At 36.2% G+C, this 21,032-nt stretch overlaps 1 protein-coding gene and 1 long non-coding RNA gene across 3 annotated transcripts in view, besides 1 other annotated feature; both read left to right on the top strand.

Annotated features, from left to right (window-relative positions):
* TNFSF4 (TNF superfamily member 4) overlaps nt 1-21,032 on the top strand; it is a 277,864-nt gene that overhangs the window by 133,175 nt on the left and 123,657 nt on the right. The gene's annotated exons all lie outside the window — the stretch shown is intronic.
* LOC100506023 (uncharacterized) overlaps nt 1-21,032 on the top strand; it is a 242,096-nt gene that overhangs the window by 159,597 nt on the left and 61,467 nt on the right. The window lies entirely within an intron of this gene.
* Nucleotides 19,349-19,398: an enhancer, noted in NCBI's record as "active region_2099". NCBI's record gives its function as "activates an Ori minimal core promoter by ATAC-STARR-seq in GM12878 lymphoblastoid cells {active_cell/tissue: GM12878}" and the evidence as "EXISTENCE:reporter gene assay evidence [ECO:0000049][PMID:35858748]".

The following is a 21,032-nucleotide window of genomic DNA, read 5'->3' as shown; positions in this document are numbered from 1 at the left end:
TAAATCTAGTTTCTTTCTTTTAAATACTACAGTTTAATTACACATGTAATAATTAAAGACATCCCCTGGGTGGGGTGAAGGACCATCGTTACATGTAAGGGTACACCTTTGACTCTCCGTTGTTAATCCTAGCACCAACACCAGAGGTATGTGTAGTAATCACACTTGGTCTTAGCCAAAAGGCCAAGAAGCGTATTGAGTAATCAAATGACCATACAGATTACCATGCAGGTATCATCATGCTGTTTCCTATGGATTTATATTGTATACTTACAGAGCATATTTAACATGGTGTTGATGGTGGTATTCAGCTGGTGGATGGGACAGTCATGTATCTGGCTCCTTGGTGGAGATGGCTAAAGTCTAGGCTCAGTTGGAACAATTCACCAGAACATATACATGGCTTCTCCAGCACAGTGGTCTCAAATTATTTGACCTCTAACATGGCAGCTCAAAGCTCCCAGAGAGTGTTCCAAAAGGCCCAGAAACTGCAAGTTTTTTTATGACTGAAGTCCCAGAATGACATATAAGCAATGTTTTGTTGGTTATGTAAGTCACTAAAACTATCCCAGATTCACAGAGATGGGACTGTCAATGAGAGCTGCAGCAAAGAATCTGGGCTATCTTCATTATTCCAGATGGATCATAGTCTTAAAGGTTAAAGGTAAAACAAAGCTTTTAGAGGAAAACATGGGAGAAAATCTCCATGATCTTGTAAAAATTTCTTTTGTCTAGTACAACAATTACATGTTAATTTTAAGAAATATGACCTTGTAAAAATTTCTTTTGTCTAGTACAATGATTACATGTCAATTTTAAGAAATAAATAAAAATTTTAAAATGAAAAAAACTATAGCCATCACAATTTTTTTGTCTAGTAATTTATTTTTATTATATTTTGCAAATATATAATGGATTGGGGGAAAATGGCCTTTCACCACAGATGGTTTGAGAAACATTGATGCATACCACATTGAAATATAATAAATCCTTGATAGATGTTTATTTTAACACATAAACTAATCATGGTGTGGTTTGGCAGGAAGTTACTTCACAAGTTTTCTTCTAGATCTAAAGTTTTTTTACTTGGAAAAAGTCTTTGTTCTGAAATATCTCTGTATATTCTGTGTTATTGAGGAACTTCTGAGTACAAAGCATTTTAGAAAAAATTGATACAATCTTTTCATCCCATCTAACCAAGTTTATTCCTTTATTATAAATTAATTTATTTAAATACAAGTTACATATATTTAAGGTAAAAACGATGTTTTGACATATATATCTACAGTCAGATGATTATTAGAGTTAAACTAATTAATATACTTATCTCAAGCATATATGGTCAACTTATTTTTGACAAGGTTGCTAAGCATACACAATGAGGAAGGGTAGTCTTTTGAATAAGCAGTGTTGAGTAAACTGGATATCCACATGTTGAGTAAACTGGATATTGACATGCAAAAGAATGAAATTGGACTTTTGTCCTACATCAGATACAATAAACTCAAAATGGATTAAAGTCTTAAATGCAGGACCTAAAACCATGAAACTACTGGAAAAAACAAGAGAAAAGCTTGACATTGGCCTTGACAATGAGTCTTTTGATATGAAATCAAAAGCTCAGGCAGCAAAAGCAAAAATAAGCAAATGGGACTACATCAAACTACAAAGCTTCTGCACAGCAAAGGAAAAAATCAACAAAATGAAAAGGCAACCTATAGATTGGAAGAAAATATTTGCAAACTATGTATCTGTTAAGGGGCTAATATCCAAAATATTTAAGGAATTCAAACAACTCAACAGCAACAAAATAAACAATCTGACACAATCTTGATAAGCAATTCAGTGATCAAACTCTAAGTTTAAATTTGATTATTCCATAAAGTCAGAAGTATCTTTCCTGCTCTTAGAAAATTGCCAAAGATTCCGTTTTCTCACCCACAGTAGCCTCCCTTTAATCACGTGTCCTTACAATTTAGGGTATACTTGAATGGTACATTTTTTTTGCCTCCACATATGGTTGCAGTATGATTTCATGGGTTTTCTAAATCTTCAGTAGTCTTTTATTGAAGTAGCAGGCTGTGGTTAACATAAATAGACAAAGAACTCCCCTGTGATTTTTTTATCTGATATTCTTTTTTCTTTGATGTCTAGACTTTACCCTTAAAGATGATCAGACTTTTATCCTATAAGGAAATAAATGGAACGTCTGATTTATTTAAACAGCTTTTATGGGGATTGAAATAGGGAGGTATTGAAATAGCAGACTGATTTTTAAAATCCTCTTACCATCCATTCTATGCATGTGACTGTAGTGAATTTTATATCTTAATTGACCCAACTCAGCAAGTACTCAGGCTGGCCAGAATTTTTTATTTATTTAAATGTTTGTAATTTCAAATCACAGATGAAGAGCACAGAGAAGACTTAGGTCACACGTAAAAAATGGAAAACAAAATTATTAATCTCTAATGACCTTGTTTTCTGTTTTCATCTCTCATCCTTCCTCATCTTTCTTTGTTATTAGATACTGTTGAAATCTTCCACCACCTTGACCTCTCTCTCCTTTGAGTTTCCACTGTGTTGCCTCACCCTGCTGCCCTTGCCCCACTTCTCCTACCATTTAACTGTGGCCATAGCTAATGTTCGGTGCTATGGCCAAACATTATACCCATTGTACTTCACTTGGGAGAGTGTGGCTTTGACTATCAGATGAATGGCTCTTTGAGGGGGTTGGTATCTCCAGCTCTGATGCCATTCAGCACTCTTTCCTCTGTGTCTCTCTCTACAAGTTCAGCATTACATCATGATGCAAAGAAATACTGGAGTTTCCCAATTATCAAATATTCAGTAATTTAGCTGAAATATTTTCTTTTTTCAACAGTGGCTGCATCTCTGTCTTTTGCCTTCCAGGTCCTGTGCCACATACTAGAAAGAAAATAGAGATTACAGAGAAAGTAATTGCTCTTAAGGAGCTCAAATTCCAGTGATGCATGCACAGAATGAAACATGTTAGATAATAGAAGTATGCAAAATGGATGTGCTATGGAAACACAGAGAAGGAAGTTGGACATCATCAAATGGAGGGCACTGAAGTCTGATAGAATAGTGTGAGCAGAGGCCATAGCATATGTAGCCTGCTTGAGGGCTAGCAAGTATTCTCATGGTTTCGTAGGCTGAGAAATGAATCAAAATTAAGAGCTCAAGAATGGGAAGAATGGTGTAAAATAGAAATCATAAGTAGTAAATTGTAGAATTTTTACCGTGATTATAAAACAACAAAATGTATACAATTGTTCTTAGAAGACAAGATACATAATGTAAGAAGAAATAGAATAATCACTGGGATCAGAAAATTCAATTAGAGGTTTGTGAGACGGGCAAAAGGGAGGTCGCCATATTTCACAGATGGAAATCATATAGATTTTGATTTAGAAATGTGGGTTTAAGTGTATTTATTATAATTTTTATTATGTAAAGATGACAGTAGGATATGTAGAATGTATGACTAATAAATCACTAGAAAAGAAGAAAAACCTAATAAAAGTCAATGCAGCAAAATATATGATTATACATAAGGGAAAAGACAAGAAGTAAAAAAATAGAAAGCATATAATAAAATGATAGTAGTCACATCTGACATATTCAAAATGTCCCTATTATAAGACAAGTATCCCTAGGCTGGGCTCTAAACACAAAATTCAAATATTACTATTTACATACAATAAGTATACCTAAAACTAAGTGACTAGACAGTTCCAAATAAGGAATGAGCTTGGCCATTTTATAAAAGTGTGTGTAATATACGAAGAGAGAAGATACACTTTCCATGAGTAATGAAAATTGACAAGTCATTAAGAGAACTATCGATAGTCTATAAAAATATCTTGGATCCTCAGAGAGGTTATCGAAAGGAGTATGCTCCTCTCAAAAAAGAAGAAAAACCGAGAGAAAATCTAAAGCATTGGGAGAATTTCTTGTAAATAAAGTGTCTTGTACTTTTTTGGAGAACAGAGCTATGCAGCATCACTAACATATGAGAGATGATAAAATATACTATTATAATTAAATATATTACTGCTTAGGATGTGGCAAAATTAAAGGTATTTGTAAATCCGATATTCCAAAAGAGTTCTCAAGCGAAGTAGACACAGCATGCATATAGTTTAAAACAAAACTGAATTGCCTTATTCAATTGAGAATGTTAGGTTTTATTTATGTTCCTAATGAATTCTGTATTATCTTTAAACTTTCTATTAAAATGCTAAGTATCTAATATATCCATATAAAACATCACATAAAAACTGGATGGCAAATGATAAATCAGAAGAAAAAAATAAACTGTATAATGGGCAATGACTTGATATCCTTAATGTATCAAGATCTTTTATGTAGGGGGGACCCTTTTCTCCTCCTCCCCGAATCCTGACATTGGTTACTAAGGTAGAATTTTCAACTATTTAGTAGAAAAGTGAAGGGAATATCCACTAGTACATTCTGAAACCTTTGGGGAGATTGAGAGAAAGAATTGTGATGCAGGGCTGCCACTTGCTCAGGGCTGTGCATCTGTCCCTGTAAGTGGGGCTGAAACTCAGCTGAATCTGCAGGCCTTGTGTCCTGGAAAAGAGCTAGTATTTATCTGGAGGAAAGGGTTGATTCCAACAAAGATGTTGGTGTCTCCAAGCCTCAGGGCCTGGATCCACGTGTAGCAGGTACTTCTTTCTACAAACTTGCCATTTGTGCTGGTTGGGGGCCCTGTGAGCATGTGTGTTTTAGCCTCTTCTGGGTTCTTTTCCATTTTAGATAAGCCCCCACAGCTGGGGTACTCTGGTCTCTTCTTCTCCATATGACAGACTTAACTGTCTTCTGAATTAAGAGGCCCACAGTTTATGCCTGAGCCTGGGGGAGAGGGACTGGTGGTAAGTCTGATTAATTCAGAAGTGAACTTTTAGGAAATCTATTTGGCTTCCTCAACATTATCTTCATTAGTAAGAAAGCTGATAATTTGATTTCTATATTTTGAGTCTTTGTCTATTTTCTCTCTTGGTTTAGGATTTCAGAGAGGAAAAAGGAGGATGTTATTCCATTACTGATCTTAAGCCCCACATTGATCAATAAAAAGAGAGAGACAAGAAATTAAAAAAAGAGGAGAGGACAGGAAATTCACTCAAACACAAATACAACAAAAGGGAACACAGAAAGGCAGTTGTATGAGTAAAAATTCATAATGTCTCAAGCAACTGATGAAATGAAAATTGAAATGCTGATAGATAATTTTCACCAATGCAATGAGAAATTTAGAAAATTTTAACAAGTTATGTCAAGGTGATAAATAGAGGCTCCCGCAGTTGCTAGTGGGTTGTAAATCTGTATATTTCTGAAGACAGGGATGGTACTATACAGGAAAAACCTTAGAATTTACAACTTTTCTTCTAAGACTTATCTTAAGAAAATCATCATGGATATGCACAAATGTATACTTAGCAGATAATTAATACACGTCACAAAAGTAGCATATAAACCAGAATCAAGTAAATGGAATTAAACTGTTTTAAGGTCCTTGCTCCATGCCAGAAGAGGTTAAAAGCAACAAGAAATATTAGACATTGCTAATTCAAGGATGCCTATTATAATTTCTAAAGTAACCACCAAAAAGAAGTAAAATAGTGAAAAGCTATCAGAGGATGTGTCCATTACCGATTTGTTGCTCCTCGTCTCCAAATCCGCATTTTATTGCCCTGCTTGAGGTACTGATCATTTCTCTCTTGCCAGTTGGCATGATGGTAAGCTTCATCAGTAGAGGGTGTGGGAGAGATGCTGGAGGAGGAAGGGGCTCTTCCTGGTTCTGGTATGCTCTACCTGGTTGACTCTTGTATCCCACAGAACTTCCTCATGGACACCTTACCCTACGACCCCAGTGTGTGGTTTTCCACACAAAGAAATGCTTCATCTACACCCTAGAGGGTGGCTTCCCAGTTCCACCAGTGAGACCTCAGGTCATCTCCACTGTCTAGTGGGCTGTGGTCATGCCCTCTCCAATGAGGTTTGAATCTCAGCCTGGTGAAGGAGAGGGGTCCTTCAGATTTATTCCTTTATTGTTTACTCTCACAGCCCTAGGGTAGTGGCTCCTCCCTTTTATTGGTACTGCATTTTATCTTGTATCTATATCTGACTCCTGTATAATTTAGCATTCTCTTAACTTATTAGCAAATCCCATATTACTTCAATCTTCTGTTATAGTTAATATATCTTTATATTAAACTTTGCCAATTCAAATGGCTGTATGATTTCTGTTTCCTGATTGGACTTTGATGGATACACAGGAAAGAAAGGCAAATAATAAAAAATGGTCAATCCAAATGATGGCAAAAAAGGAGCAATAAAAGAACACAGAAGAGGAATGACAATGAGATAACAAATATTAAGACCCAATCTGATCACTAACAACATTAAAAGTAAATGGACTAAATGCTTTAATATACAGAGATTATTAGTTTGGTTTAAAAACTTAAACATATGATGTTTACATGAGATAATATAAAATATAAGAATAAAATATAAAAAGTGAGGCTGTGAAAAGATTAAAATTACATGATGGTAAATATCTACCATGTAAACAACCAAAAGAAACCTGATGCAGCTATATTAGCAAAAGTGAACTTTAAGTCAAAACATTATTAGTGATAAAAAGAGGCAGGCTCAATAAGTTTCAACTTACCATGAAGAAATAATTTTAAATTTGTATGCACCTATTAACGTAAGTATTAAAATATCAGACAGAATTAACAAAACTGCAAGGAGAATAGAGAAATCCACAGTCTTCACTGGAGGTTTTTAACATATATTTCTCAGTGACTGCTACAATAACAGACAAAGAAAAAAAAAAAGAAAAAGTACAATAAAATTATAGAAAATTTGAAAACTGTATTAAGAAAATATATCTAAAGGACAGCTATATAACACTATACGTTCTTTACGAGCCTACACTTTTAAGAATTGACTATATTTTGGGTCCTGAAGCAAGACTTAAAGATTAAAATAATAAGGTGTTCTATAATGACAGTGCAATTAAAGCAAAAAATCAATTACAAAATGTTAAGTTGAAAAATCCCTGTATGTTGTAAATTAAGAAATATATTTCTGAATACCCCTGGGTCAAATATTTAAAAATCACAATGGAAATTAACAAATGTTTTGAATTAAATGATAAAGAAAATACTACATATCAAAACATGTGGTACCCTGCTAAAGCAGTGTTTGGAGGACATTTTTTGCCCTTAAGTACATACAGTAGAAAAGAAGACAGTCTCAAAGTAAATAAACTTGTCATCTATCTCAAGAATTTAGAGGAACAACAACAAATTTAAGCTAAAGAAAGTAGAAAGAAGAAAACAATAAAGAAACAGAAACTAGTGAAACAGCAAAAGAAAGGAGCAACAAAGTCAAAAGATGTTTTTATGATTAATAAATTTTGGTGAGACTGATAAAGACAAAAAGAGGGATAACACAAATTTCAATATTGGAAGGAAAAAGGTGACATTAGTACAGAACTGACAGTCATTAAAATCTCATATGAACATTATGAACAACTTATTTTTTATCAATACATTAAAAATGTATGTGAAAAGGATACATTATTAACAAAATACAAATACCAGATTTTATGCTAAAATAAATGGAAAACCTGAATAATTCTGTAACCACTAGGAAATTGAGTCCATCATTAAAAATATTTTCATTAAAAAATTTCAGGTCCAAATGGCTTCACTGGTGAGTCCTGTTAAATGTTTAAGTAAGAAATAATGCCAGGTTTACATAAACTATTTGAGAGAATAGGAAAGGGAACAATCTCAACTCATTTGATAAGGCTAGCATAACATTAATAGCAAAGTCTAATAAGGACATTAAAGAAAGGAAAAAAAATCACAAGCTAATCATCTCCTATAAGTGCAATAGGTCCTAAAAAAATCAGCAGGCAAAATTCAGCAATATATAAAAGGGATACTATATCCCCATCAAGTTATGTTTATTTTGGAAATACAAGTTGATTGGTTTTCAAATCAATCAACTAAAAAAGAAAAATTATATAATTGTCTCAATAGTTCAAGAAAAATCTCTGATAAAATTCAGTATCTATCCATGATCTTAAAAAAAAACTCAGTAAACTATGAAAGGATATTTCTTACTTTTTTAAAAAGTACATAGTTAAAAAAATAGCAAAGATCATTCTTAATAGTGAAATGTTACAGTTTCCCTTTGAGATCAACAATAAAATAAGGATGACTGCATCGCCGTTACTGTTCAAAATTTTACAGGTCCTAGCCAGTGTAATAAGACAAAAAATGCAAATGAAGGGCATGAGGATTAAAAAGAGAAAATAAATGGTCATTCTTTATAAAGGTTATGAACATTCAGATGTAGAACATCTAAAATAATCTATAGATAAATTATTAGAATGAATAAAAGAATTTAATTCACACCTATATATGCCCCACCCCATAAGATCTTCTAGCATGTGACATTGATATCTCTCCATTGAGTGATGGAGTCTATGGTCCTTCTTCTTGAACCTAAGTGGACCTTGGCAATTGCCTCAGTCACTGGAATGCAGTGGAAGGATGCTGTGTGACTTTTGAGGCTATTTTATAAACATCAATACAGCTTCTTAGCTCTCTCTCAGGATACTTGCTTTTGAGATCCAGGTCTTATGAGGACGCCATATGTTAGTCCACAGTCCCAGCTAGGCTCCAAGATGCTAGGCAGCATGAATAACTAGACATATGAATGGGCTAGCCTTCAGATAATTCCTTCCTAGCCTTTGATTCTTCCAGCTGAGCCCCCAGATAACATGGAACAGGGATGAGCTGCCCTCATCATGTCTTGTCTGAGTAACTCACCAACAGACATCTTGAAATAAAAAAATTATTATTGTTGTTTTAAGTCACTTAGTTTTGGAGTAGTTTTAGCAGCAACAGTTAACTAACATAGGTCAATATAAAAATCAATGCATTTTATAACACATTCAGAAACAAAAAATAGGATTTTTTTTAAGAAGTAGTGCTGTGTCTCCATATGGAAAAATAAAAATTATTATCTCCCACCATACACAAACAACAATTCCAGGTAGATTATAGATCTACATGTGAAAGACAAAAGAATAAATATTCTAGAAGACAAAATAGAAAAATGTCTTCAAGACCTTGACACAGGGGAAAAGGTCTCAATAAAACACACACACACACACAGACACACACACACACACACACACACACAGAGAGAGAGAGAGAGAGAAAGAGAGAGAGGAGTGGGATGGAGGAAGAGAGAAGGAAGAGAATAAAGTTGACTGCAGTCAAATTGAAAACTTCTGTTTATCAAAAGATACCATTATAAGACTTAAAGGCTAATCACAGAGTAGAAGATATTTGCAACACATATTGCTGACAAAGGGATTGTATTTAGAATAAAGAATTTGTATAAAAAATAAGAAAAAGACAGACAACCCAATTCAAAATGTGCAAGAGACTTGAACAAGGCATTTAACTAAAGAGATTATTCAAAGTCCAATAACACTGACCAGGTGCTCCACCTTACTAGTAATCAGGGACCTTTCCTTTTCTATATTATGAGCCTAATCATGCATAATTTTGAGGGTTGTAAAAAACACGAGATAATTTTTAAACTTTTATTTTGAAATAATTCAACCTTACAGAAGAATTGCAAGAACTCTCATAAATATTTTGCTCAGATTAACCAAGTGTTACTATTTTGTCATATTCTGCACTCCCTTTCCAGATCCAGACTCACGTGTGTGTGTGTGTATGTACCTATTATTTTCTGAACCATTTGAGGGTTTTATATTAGTATATCATGTCCCTTTGTGGCTAAATACTTTAAATACTTTAGTATTTCATGAGAACAAAAGACCTTCTTTACATGACCACAGTATGATTATTGCATTCAGAAAATTTAACATAGATTTGCCACTATTATCTGATATAGAGTTAATATTTCAATTTTCCAATTGTCTTAATAGAAAAACTTTTTTTTTCCAAAGCCAGAATCCATTCCAGGATCATGCACTGTATTTAGTTGATGTTTCTTTCATTTTCTTTAATCTGTAATGGTTCCTCAGCCTTTGTCATTCACGACATTGACACATTTGAAGAATATAAGCTAGTTGTTGTGTACATTGTGTTTGAATTTGGGTTTGACTGCTTTTTCTTCATGATTAGATTTAGATTTTGCATTCTTGGCTAGTATAGTACATTAGCAATATTTTGTCCTTCTCAATATATCAATAGTATATAACTTAAAGGACCTGGCATAAATAGATTATCATTATATCTTACCTTACTGTTATTTTTTTTTATTGTGAGCAATTTCTCAGCATTTTTGGGAAAAAGTAGAGAATGAATTGATTTAATAAATAAAGCATTTTATAAAGTATTTTATGTGTGAATATATTTATCTGACAGTTTTATGGTAAAACCTGAAACAGATGAGGTTGCCAAAACTGATCATTCCAAGAAGCAATTAATAAGTAGGATTCTCAGAGTCAATGAAGATGCTTCCAGAGAACCATATGGAGAATTTGTTATGTGTTCCCTGGAGTTGGAGGGGTGCAGGGACTAGTATCTGACTCAAAGCTGCAAAGTCTAAAGGTGAGAGTTGGAGGCCTGAGCTCTGCTGACTTGGGGCAGAGTCAGGGAAGTTCGAATCCATCATGATTTCTAGCATCTGGCCTGACAAGGAAGCTTGAATTTCCCTTGAGCTTATGAGACCCCACAGGAGGAAGTCATATTGAGTTCTCTTGAATGAGATTCCACTAAAGAGGACTGAGCCCTGTAATGGTTGGGCCACAAGAAACCAGTGGATAAAGGGAATGTGTAAGTGGCCATCTCCATGGAGGAGGCATAGTGTATGTGAAAGGAAGTGTAGACAAGTGTAGGAAGTGTAGGAAGTGTTCCTAGTGATGGAGGTCATCTGTGAAAAAGCCACAAAACCACTCCAGGAAAGAAACAACTGACATTTGGAATATCCTTTGCAGAGAGAATACCTACACTAGACTATAACCGTATGGTGAAATATTACCTTTGCTTACCCATGCCTCTTCCCACCCATCTCACTCCAGTCCCTGAGGGGCCCCAAAGTATCTGCCAGGGAGTGAAGGAGAAGGTGGAATAAGAGCTAGAGATTAATATGATTACCCCCATCTTTTCTCATTATAGGCTTCCAAGCCTGAAGTAGGTCAGAGCTCAGAGAAGAGAGAAGTTTTAAAGTTGATGAGAATAGAGTTTTAATTACTATACTTGATTAGAATTTCTAATACTTAGAAAAAGACATTACTAAATTTCATCGAGTCTTCGATGCTATTGATTCTAAGATACTTCATTATTTTTATATACCACTAAGAAAGGGGAAAAAATCTCCTTCCAATTATGATTATAAGATGCCACTGAGATTTGGATTTCAGAGATGAGATGAGATGTTAAAATGGAAAAATATGTTCATGTTGGAGTAGATTAACATATTTTATTATCTGAGAGTGATTAGAAAACCTATGAGATCCGTGTAAGATTTCATCCAGGGAAGGGTGATGTGGTTTGGCTCTCTGGCCCCACCCAAATCTAATCTTGAATTGTATTTCCCATGTGTTGAGGGAGGGACTTTTAATCCGCACATGTGGAGGGAAGGAGGTGACTGGATCATGGAGGCAGTTTCCTCCATGCTAGTCTCATGATAGTGAGTGAGTTCTCAGGAGATCTAATGGTTTTATGAGTATTCCTTCCACCATGATTGTAAGTTTCCTGAGGCCTCCCCAGCCATGTGAAACTGTGAGTCAATTAAACTTCCCTTTTTTTTTTTAATAAATTACCCAGTCTCGGGTAATATCTTTATAGCAGTATAAAAATGGACTAATACAAAGGGTAAGTGAATTAATATAGAGGTTTTAAGTGGGGGAGGCAGTGGGATAAAAAGTAAGAGTGATTCCTGCTTCTTCTCTACATTGTCCAACTGGTTCAAGAAACTGGTTGAATGATCCAATTTCTCAGTCTAATTTCAGGCTAACAACTATACGTGGGCCAAGCCTGCCTTTCACAAATGCTTGAACGGAAAAGTTTATCTGGGGGCTTAAAGGTTCATTTGAAGGTTCATCTCTTCCACTTAAGCGTGTTTCATCCTGCCCAGAAAGAGCTGAATACATTCCCTGAATATTATTTTAGGTGCTAGATTTTCTTGGTAGGAATGAAAACTTGGGGTACATGGAGATACTGAAAAACTTGGAGTGTTCTTATAATTTATGGGAAATAACAGGAAAGATTTTTTCCAAAATTGTGACTGTTTTTGCAAATTGTAGATCTCATGCCCTTTTGGCATGTTTCATAACATATGGAGTAGTATAACTAAAATATCATCTGGTCTCCCTGCCTCTTAGGTGTCTGGATAAATTAAATGGAATCCTCCCAATTCTATGGCCTATGGAAGTCTGAAAAATTCCTGTTCGTTTTTGTGAATTCCTAGGGGATTATGTCCTATGGTTCCTCAGGCTCTGGCTCTTAAGTGCATCAATCTGGGTTTGCAGCTAGACCCCTGTGGTGATTTTACAAAATGTCCACCAATTCTTTAACACTCTTCTCTTCAAGAGATAGCACTTAATTCCTCTCCCCTTGACTGTGAGATGGACTAAATGACTTACTTCTAATGAAAATAATATGGTGGAAGTGACAATGTGTGGCTTCTGACACTAGGTTATGAGGCAAGTGGCTTCCTCTTTGTCCTCTCTCCCAGATTGCTTGCTCTGAGGGAAGCCAGGTTCCATGCCATGAGGGCACTTAAGCAGTCCTGTGGAGAGAGAGGTCCATAAAGTGAGGGCTTGAGGCCTCCAGCCAACAGCCATGTAATTAAGCCATCTTGGAAGTGGAGGTTGGTTTCTTTGTCAATTTACTGAGAGTAAGTAACATTTTAGAAGAAAGGGTCAGAGTTTGTAGTTGTGCTTCTATCAGCAGTGATTATATTAAGGCCCAGAATCATTTTGCCTTAACAATGGTGAACACCTAAAGGACTTTTCCCTCATGAGCAACTGGTTTTCCTTATCCTGTATTTTCCCCTTTCTAAACCATTCTCTCTAGCCAGTGAGATTTTCCTATGTCATTTATGTATCCCCCAGTTAAGAAGTGCATCCATGCCCAACCCAGTCCCCTTGCCTTCAGGATAAAATCCAAATTCTTCTACCTAGTTTATAAGAACTCTCAGCACTGCCATGATATGAGATTGTGGTCACTTCTCTGGCTGTGGGATATTTATTTTGAATATCGTGCAATAAAGGTTTTATTTTTCACAAGTTCTATGGAAATGAAAGATACCATAACCTTTACTTGGAGGTTTTTTGTTCTAGAAATGAATACTTATTTTATGTCAATGGTTTTTTTTACATACACAGAATTACTGGACCAAGTGACCAGAGCTTCTGAGAAAGAAAGAAATAACTGTTTTCACACCTTTATAGCAGAAATAATGAAAACTGTGTGGGCAGTTAAAACTGGACAGGAGAATAAAAAGATATTTTTAAAGCAATATATCTTTCTTCTGAAAATGCTGTTGCATTAAATTCTTAAACACAGAATAAAAATAATTATGATATTTTCACTGTGTAGTCATTGAAAAGTAAAAGGGTGACTTACTTATATATTATTGACCTGGAATCTTGTCTATCATATAGAGTAGAAAAAATGGTTAGAGAACAGTATGTAGAGAATAATCACATAATCATATGTAGAGAATAATATAATATTTAGTTATGTATGCATACACAAATAGTGTAGAAGGCTCTATATCAAGTTGTTAATGATGATTATCTCTGGGGAAAGGTTTATGAGAGGAGTTTGTGGGATGTTTTTTACGTTATTCACTTCTGAATTAAAAAACGTATAAAAACATCTTTTATAATTTAAAAAGATAGTTCCATTTTATAAAGATCAAGGATCACATAAACTAGGTGATAGAGCAGGAGCGCCGTCATCTCGGACAAACACCGCCACTTTAAATTCCACCTCCCATTCTAGCCTCATGCATTTCAAGGAAACCTCTTCTAACTACGGAAAGAGCAGCCAGAAAGAGCAGACAGGAAAACACAGATAAGACAGCTTGGGCACAGAGGGAGGTGGGGGGAAAGTCTCTTGGGTAACTACCAAATTTCACCCTCATACAATGAGCCCCAGTAAAACAGTGGGCCTTAATAAGCACATTCCTTTCCCTTCAGGGGCACTGAGATGGGTAAGCTAAAAGCAGACTTGGGGGGTATGACTGCAGCTGCAGAAAGATGTGTGGGAACAGACACACAACTCTCCCTCCCAGATAAGCACAACAAAGAGACACAGAAGCAGTCTAAGCCTCTGATAAACTCTCCCACCCTGAATCCTTAAAAACTCAGTCTGTAAGAGAGTGTGGCTCTGACCTAACTTGGTCAGAAGGCACCTCTCAGGTTTGTTTTCTGTAAAATGAATCTGTCTTGACTGTCCAGCCGCTTTTCATGTTTCTTTCCTCTTTCTTTAATTGTTACACTAGGAATCCTCAATTAATACCTATACCTCTGTCATCATACAGACCCTCATTTAAATCCTGTTGGAATGATGAATGGTTTGATGTCAGGGTTTAATCACATCTTAAAACTGTTTTTCAAAGGTGTCTTTTATAACGTCATCAGTGGCTAAAACACTACTTGTTATTAAATTATTCCTCATAGCCAATCCTCATGTTATTCCATGTGATTTTCCTCTGGAGCTCAGCTAAAAATGGAAAAAAAAAAAGAAAGAGTTGATGACTTTCTTTGTTTAAAAATGATTAAGTGATTTTTAGTTTTATTTTCATAGCATGTTTATCTTTTTTTAGATATCTTGCCCTTGATCATTTCTTGGAAGCCACATTGTAAAAACAGTATGGGATTGGAAGTTGGAGGAACTGATGTCATACCCTGTTATCTTCACATACCAGTAGTCTACCTGTGGGTCAGTCATTACCTTAAATTGTCTGAACTTTGGTTTTCTCATCTATAAAACGGGAATGAGAGTGTCCTAGAGGATCATGGGAGATGAGGTCAAAGAGTGTGATGAACAATAACATCTTTCACATATGCTGGTTTACCCTTCTCTTTCTCCTGCCCTCTTTCTTTCTCTTCCTTGCTTCTTAGGGATGTCAGAACTCTCTACAATCAGTGTCTTCTTCTGTAAAACAGAAAAATAAAATAACTCTTTTTCTTCTGTACTTCAGAGAGTCACTTTTGTAAGACTCATTTGGATAAATGAGTGTCAAAGTGTGTTTTAAAGAATAGGGTCTTACACAAATGCTAGCTATATTTGTGCTTTGCCATTATGTCAGCCCTATGAATGCATTTGTCCTAGTGGATATCATCCTTCCCATTTTATAGAGAAGAACACGGTTTGAGAGGACCTGCACAGGGTCTCACAGTACTAGAACCCAGGCTTCCAGACTATTAAAGGCCGTTTAAAAAGTTTATTTCTCTTCTGTAAATTAAATGACCTCAATTCTTTTAGCTTTTTTTCTCCCATAAATTCCACACATCAAAATAACTGACAAAGAAAAACGAGTGAATTGTTCAATTAGTTTTTGTATGGTATTTTGCTATTAAAGTTGAATCAATTTATGTGAGTGCAGGGAATGAGAAGTGGTAAATGAGAAGACATGATTTCCGCCTTTATGGAATGTATGTTCTGTAGGGTGGGGGTGGGGTGCATGGGTGGTAGCAGAAAATAAGTGAGTAAACAAATAAATGAACAAGATAGTTGTAGGTGGTGATAAGCATTTTTGGATCAAATGAAGCATAGTGATATGAAGGAGTGACAGTGTGGTGGTGTTGGATGAGGAGGTGTGGCCTAGACTGAGTAATTAGAAAAAGGCTTTGGGAGGAGATGACCTATGGTGTTCAACAGATATTTGCTGAATGAATTAATGAGTGAATGAGTCATTCATGCAAAGAATAGGAGCAATGGCAGAGAGTGTTTGGAAATACTTTTGCTATAATAGTTAATACTAATAGCTGCTTTTGATTTGCTCTTATGTGCCAGGCACTGTGCTTAATTATTTATATTTACCTAAAAGTTGAATCTTCACAACAACCCAAAGAATTAATTAATTAGAATAACTCCATTTTTTAGACAAGAGTTGTAATGACATTTATGGTAAAAAAAATGGAACTTTTTACTTAAAAATCTTTAATGTTCTTATTACTCCTTTAAATCTCAAGCACTTAAAGAACAACATTTGGTTATAAATTAATCAAAGTGCTGGGAAAGGTGGTGGTCTGTCTCATTCACCTAATTTTCTATCAAAATAGATTTGTTAAAGTTCTGTATAAAGATAATAGCTTCTTCATTTGCTCTGTTCATGTGTTACAATTAGATCATAGAAAGTCAGAATGGAAAGCAACCTTGGAATTCAACTAGTCCAGCAGTAGTGTTTTATAAATAGACTTAGGCATAAAGAAATTAAATGAATCTTTTTAAAAATACTGGATTTTTGTAGTGAGCATTTGGAATGCATAAAACTGTAAGAATGGTTATCATTCGTTCACGTAAATTACGTTTCTCAAACAGTACATTTGTTCTTCATAAAAACTACAATGACATTATAATCCCTACTTTCCTGATAAAGGCACCTAAGTAAACTGCTCAAGATCACATTGACACTAAACAGTAAACCCAGGATTTAAAGTCAGATATGCTCCTCCAATACACTTTGCTTTTACTTTCAAAATAAGATCAACTCATAGTAAAAATGTTTTAGAAATTAATCATAGCAGTTATAATAGTTTGGATTGAATGTTTACTCATTCTAGAAAACTGGAAATTATGTTGATTTTGTTTATTTTTTGGGGTGGGGGTGGAGCACTCCACTTGAAAGAAAAAGGTAGAAAAAATTCCATTACTTATGTTTCCATTAATGCCTGTAGCATCGCAAATCCAGTGATCAACAAAATCCAGTACCATTTGGGCAGTGAGATAGTGGCTGTCAACAACTATGGAGAGAGAAACTTGCAGAGACTATTGGGGGAAATCCCTAACGTAAGAAAATCCCTCCTCAGCAACAGAGTGTCCCAGGGACCTTTGAGATTCTACTAAGGGCTGGTAAAGTAAAATGTCAATCCAAGTGGCAGATACTATCTTTCATGTCTTCTCTGAATTACAGGATTTCTCTCCTCCTATACCTTCTCTCCTCCTATTCCTCATAGGAAGTTCCTGGCTGGAGAGACTCCCAATATGGGTAGGCCAAAGAGGAAGGACTCTAGGGCTGCTTGCTCTTCCTTGGGGACTTTAAATACCAACTTCTGCTTTTATCTTATATGTATGTATGTATGTATGTATGTATGTATGTATGTATGTATCTATCAATCATCTATTTATTATCTATCTATCTATCTATCTATCTATCTATCTATCTATCTACCATCTATTTTGGGGGAAGTAGGGGATTATAATGAGCAATAATCAAATGACCAATATAGCCTGATTTATTGAACTCATAAAAAATCCGTAAAATATGCCTTTTAGAGATTGAGAGAAATTAGCCTAAAAGTAATTTTTTGGCCATGTGAGCAGTTGACAATGGGTTTAAATACAACTTAATCTTTAGTTGATGAGCCCCTCAGCCTACCCCTGACACTACAAGAAAACTGCTTATAGTTAATGCATGTCTTCCCACATCCCCTATTCCTTCTTATGTTCCCCCTCCCAACTTTACATGTTGGGGGCAGGTGGAATCCTAATTCATATAGTTACCACAGTCTGAGAAACAGGTTAACTCTGTATTCATGATTACAAATTTAGATTGTTTGCAAAAATAACTCTTATGCATCATCCCATATAAAGCCATATAAAGCCTTAATTCCAGGCTCATAAATCAAATAGTCAATACAAAAAGCACTTATGAGTTACCTCCTGTGGATCTTTTGCTAAAACACAATGCAATTTAGTAGTTAGAGGTCCTAAACTAGTAGAAAAGTATTTCAAGGGGATTTGTTTGAATATTTCCCGTGGGAGAAGGAAAGAAGTAGGATTGGGTAGAGGGAAGAAGTGAAATGCAAAACAGTCACAAGTCCTCATGCAATCCTCATAGATGCCCTGAGTCTTTAGATAGCCCCTCAGAATCCTAACACCTTGGGGCAAGGGAACTGGGTCTTTATTTCCCATCCACCAGTGATCAGATGCAGGTTGGCCCTGGGAGTGAGCCATGATCTTGGGCAAAGCAGCTTTCATAAGCTTAGGGCAGTTTCCAGAGAATGATGCAGTTGAGAGCTGTCAGCTGCTGTCAATACTCCTAAAAGCAGTGGGGAAAAGGAGTGTGCTTCAATTCTGGATGCAGATTAGACATCAGGATTTATGGGCTGTTGAATCTGGCTGTTGAATCTGGCACTGAGTGGCATACCACAGCATCCACTACAATATTTAAAAATTATTGTTAGGTAAAGGACATCATATCCCAACAATTTCTCAAGTGACTGGTACTTTTAATTTCAAATGTATAATTGGAAAATGTTAACAAACTGGATATATCACTCATAGTTATTAGTTTAGAGGTGTCATGTTAAGTACTCATTGTTATATAGCTACTAAATTTCTGTATGAATTATATTTTATATATCCTCTTTCATTTATCCAGTGTGATTTGCTTAAAAGAACTCTGAAACTCTTTTATCTCTGAGTTAAAAGACCTGGGTCCTTACCAAAATCTGCCACTTACCATAGAACAAGTCATTTTACTTCCTCATCTGTAAATTAGTGATGATGATATTTTGGCTGACTCTTCCACAGGGTTGTTGTGCACAGTAACAAACAAAATGCTTGTAAAGGCCTTTTGTACACTGCTGCTAAAGAAGAGCTCAGAGAAGCTGTAGCTGTGGGAGTCCTGCTCTGGCTAAACAGCCTCAGTTAGCATGAGGAGCCCCTGAAATTTGAGAGTAGTGCAGAGTGAAGTGTGGATGATACAAACAGAGGGAATGAGGCAGGAGATTCCAAAAAAGAAGGGGTGAGGAAGAAAGGTGGAATTTTCCTTGGGTACCAAAGACTACCATTTCCTACTTCACCACTCTAACTCAGGCCAGCTCTACTAAAGCAAATTGAAAACAGAACAAAACACAAAATAGACAGACAAATCAGCTGACTGAATTACATGTTAACTAAACCATTATGCATCTTAGAGCATGTCTCTTCCTCCCATTCTTACCCTGTTTCCTGCACCAGGTAAACAGCAATCATATTACTGAGAGGAAAGAAAAACCACTGTATTTGTTTAGTTTTGGGGGTTCTTGGCTATAATATAGGATCTGTCACCTCCTTAACACCACTTTGACTCAAGCTTTTCATCTGAAAGCAAGTGGGTGTTCATTTCTAAGTCTCTCTTTATTGCTCTCTCTTTTTGTTGTGGTCGTGGTTGCTTTGGTCTCATTTTTAATCTTTCCCCGTGACAGTCCTCTCTCAGCCCCTGTCCTGAAAGTAAGTGATCAGCCTTCAGGTCAGGGTAGAGTTAGCCTGGACTTCCCCAGACTCTACCCACAGCATCGGAAACGTTGCCTTTGAATTCTCAGCTTTTTCAACATTGATGATACAGCCTTGGTTTTGGTTTAAAAAACTGGAGATAAATGTCATGTGGTCAACTCCAAGGAGGCATAGTTGAATGATTTCTAACCAGAGGCATTTCCCAGTTGGTTGGCCACATTGAGACCAGCTTTCCCTTCTACCCCAGAGGTTTGCTGTAGCATATTCTGCTCCCCTCACTGTATTCTTCCTTCCAACAACCCATCTATACATCCTCTCATTCATTCATTCATTTATCTATTTCCCTCTCTTTTGGTCAAGAAACCAGTGTGGGCTGCCTTGCATATTTCGTATTCTCTCCTGCAGCCTCCTCTCATGGGCCAGATATGGATGAACTCCTCCTTCAACTTCAATTCCTTGCTCCTAGCACCTACTTTTTCTGGTTTGGCCTCCATCTCTGGGAGCTGATGAGTGGCCAGGATAATTTCAACAAAGCAGCAGTGCAGATTGGGGCCAGGTCTGTTTTGTGCTTTCTGTTACTTCAGGATTTATGGGCTATTGAATCCGGCACTCAACCCTGGCTTTGCCAACAGTACATTTGTTTTATCCATAAAGCAAACAGCAATGACTGTGAAACTTGACTTTACTTGGACTGTGACAAGTCTGTCTGCCATACCAGTGATCTTTTTTTTTCGTGTGTTGCCAGATAACTTCTCCCTTCTTGCCCCCCAAGATTTCTTAAAGGAAACAAGGTCTAACATATCATTAGATGGTGTATGAATATAATGAAAACATTTTTCTCATGGAAGTCTGCCCTGTCTCCCTAAGGATAGGCTGGCTACCTTTCTCTGTACTCCAATGGCACCTTATACTCTTCCCTGTATTTTCTGTATCTTTCTCTCCCACTAGACATCATGAGGACAAAAACTCTCTTGCTCATCATTATGTCTCCAGTCTGGAACCCAGAACTGTCAGTGTATGTTTATTCACTGATGAACTAAACTTTATAATGTGTGGGCTTTCTTCCAGTTTCCTGAGAAGGAAGGGAAGTAGTAATATCTGCTTTTCTGGGCACTGTCTACCTGGGACTCCAAGGCCTATTGAGAGGCTGTGCTGAGGGTAAGCTGGATGTTGGGTTCTTACATGTGATTTTGCTTCTCCATTACATCTGTCCATCCATACCATTTTCCTTGCCAGAACATGTCAGGCACAATCTTCTGCTATAGGGGAAGCATGATTGGCGATGGCTAAAGGTGATCAGAAGAAAAATAGTCAGAAGAAGCATGCCCTATTTTTCCTGCCTACCCATGTCCACTAACACAGTAGGAAGTCTGTGCTTGGCAGTGTATCTATGGCTGTCAAGATCCTTTCCCAAGCCTGTAGTCTTTCCTTCTTTTGTCTCCCTACCCCTCACTCAACCCCCTTTGCAGCCTTCTCTCCTGCCAGTTAAAAAAGCCACCACACCTTACATTACTTAGAGTAAAT

This window comes from Homo sapiens, chromosome 1 (genome assembly GCF_000001405.40).
Source record: "Homo sapiens chromosome 1, GRCh38.p14 Primary Assembly".
Taxonomy (NCBI): Eukaryota; Metazoa; Chordata; class Mammalia; order Primates; family Hominidae; genus Homo; species Homo sapiens.
This window is presented reverse-complemented; position numbering and strand designations above follow the sequence as displayed.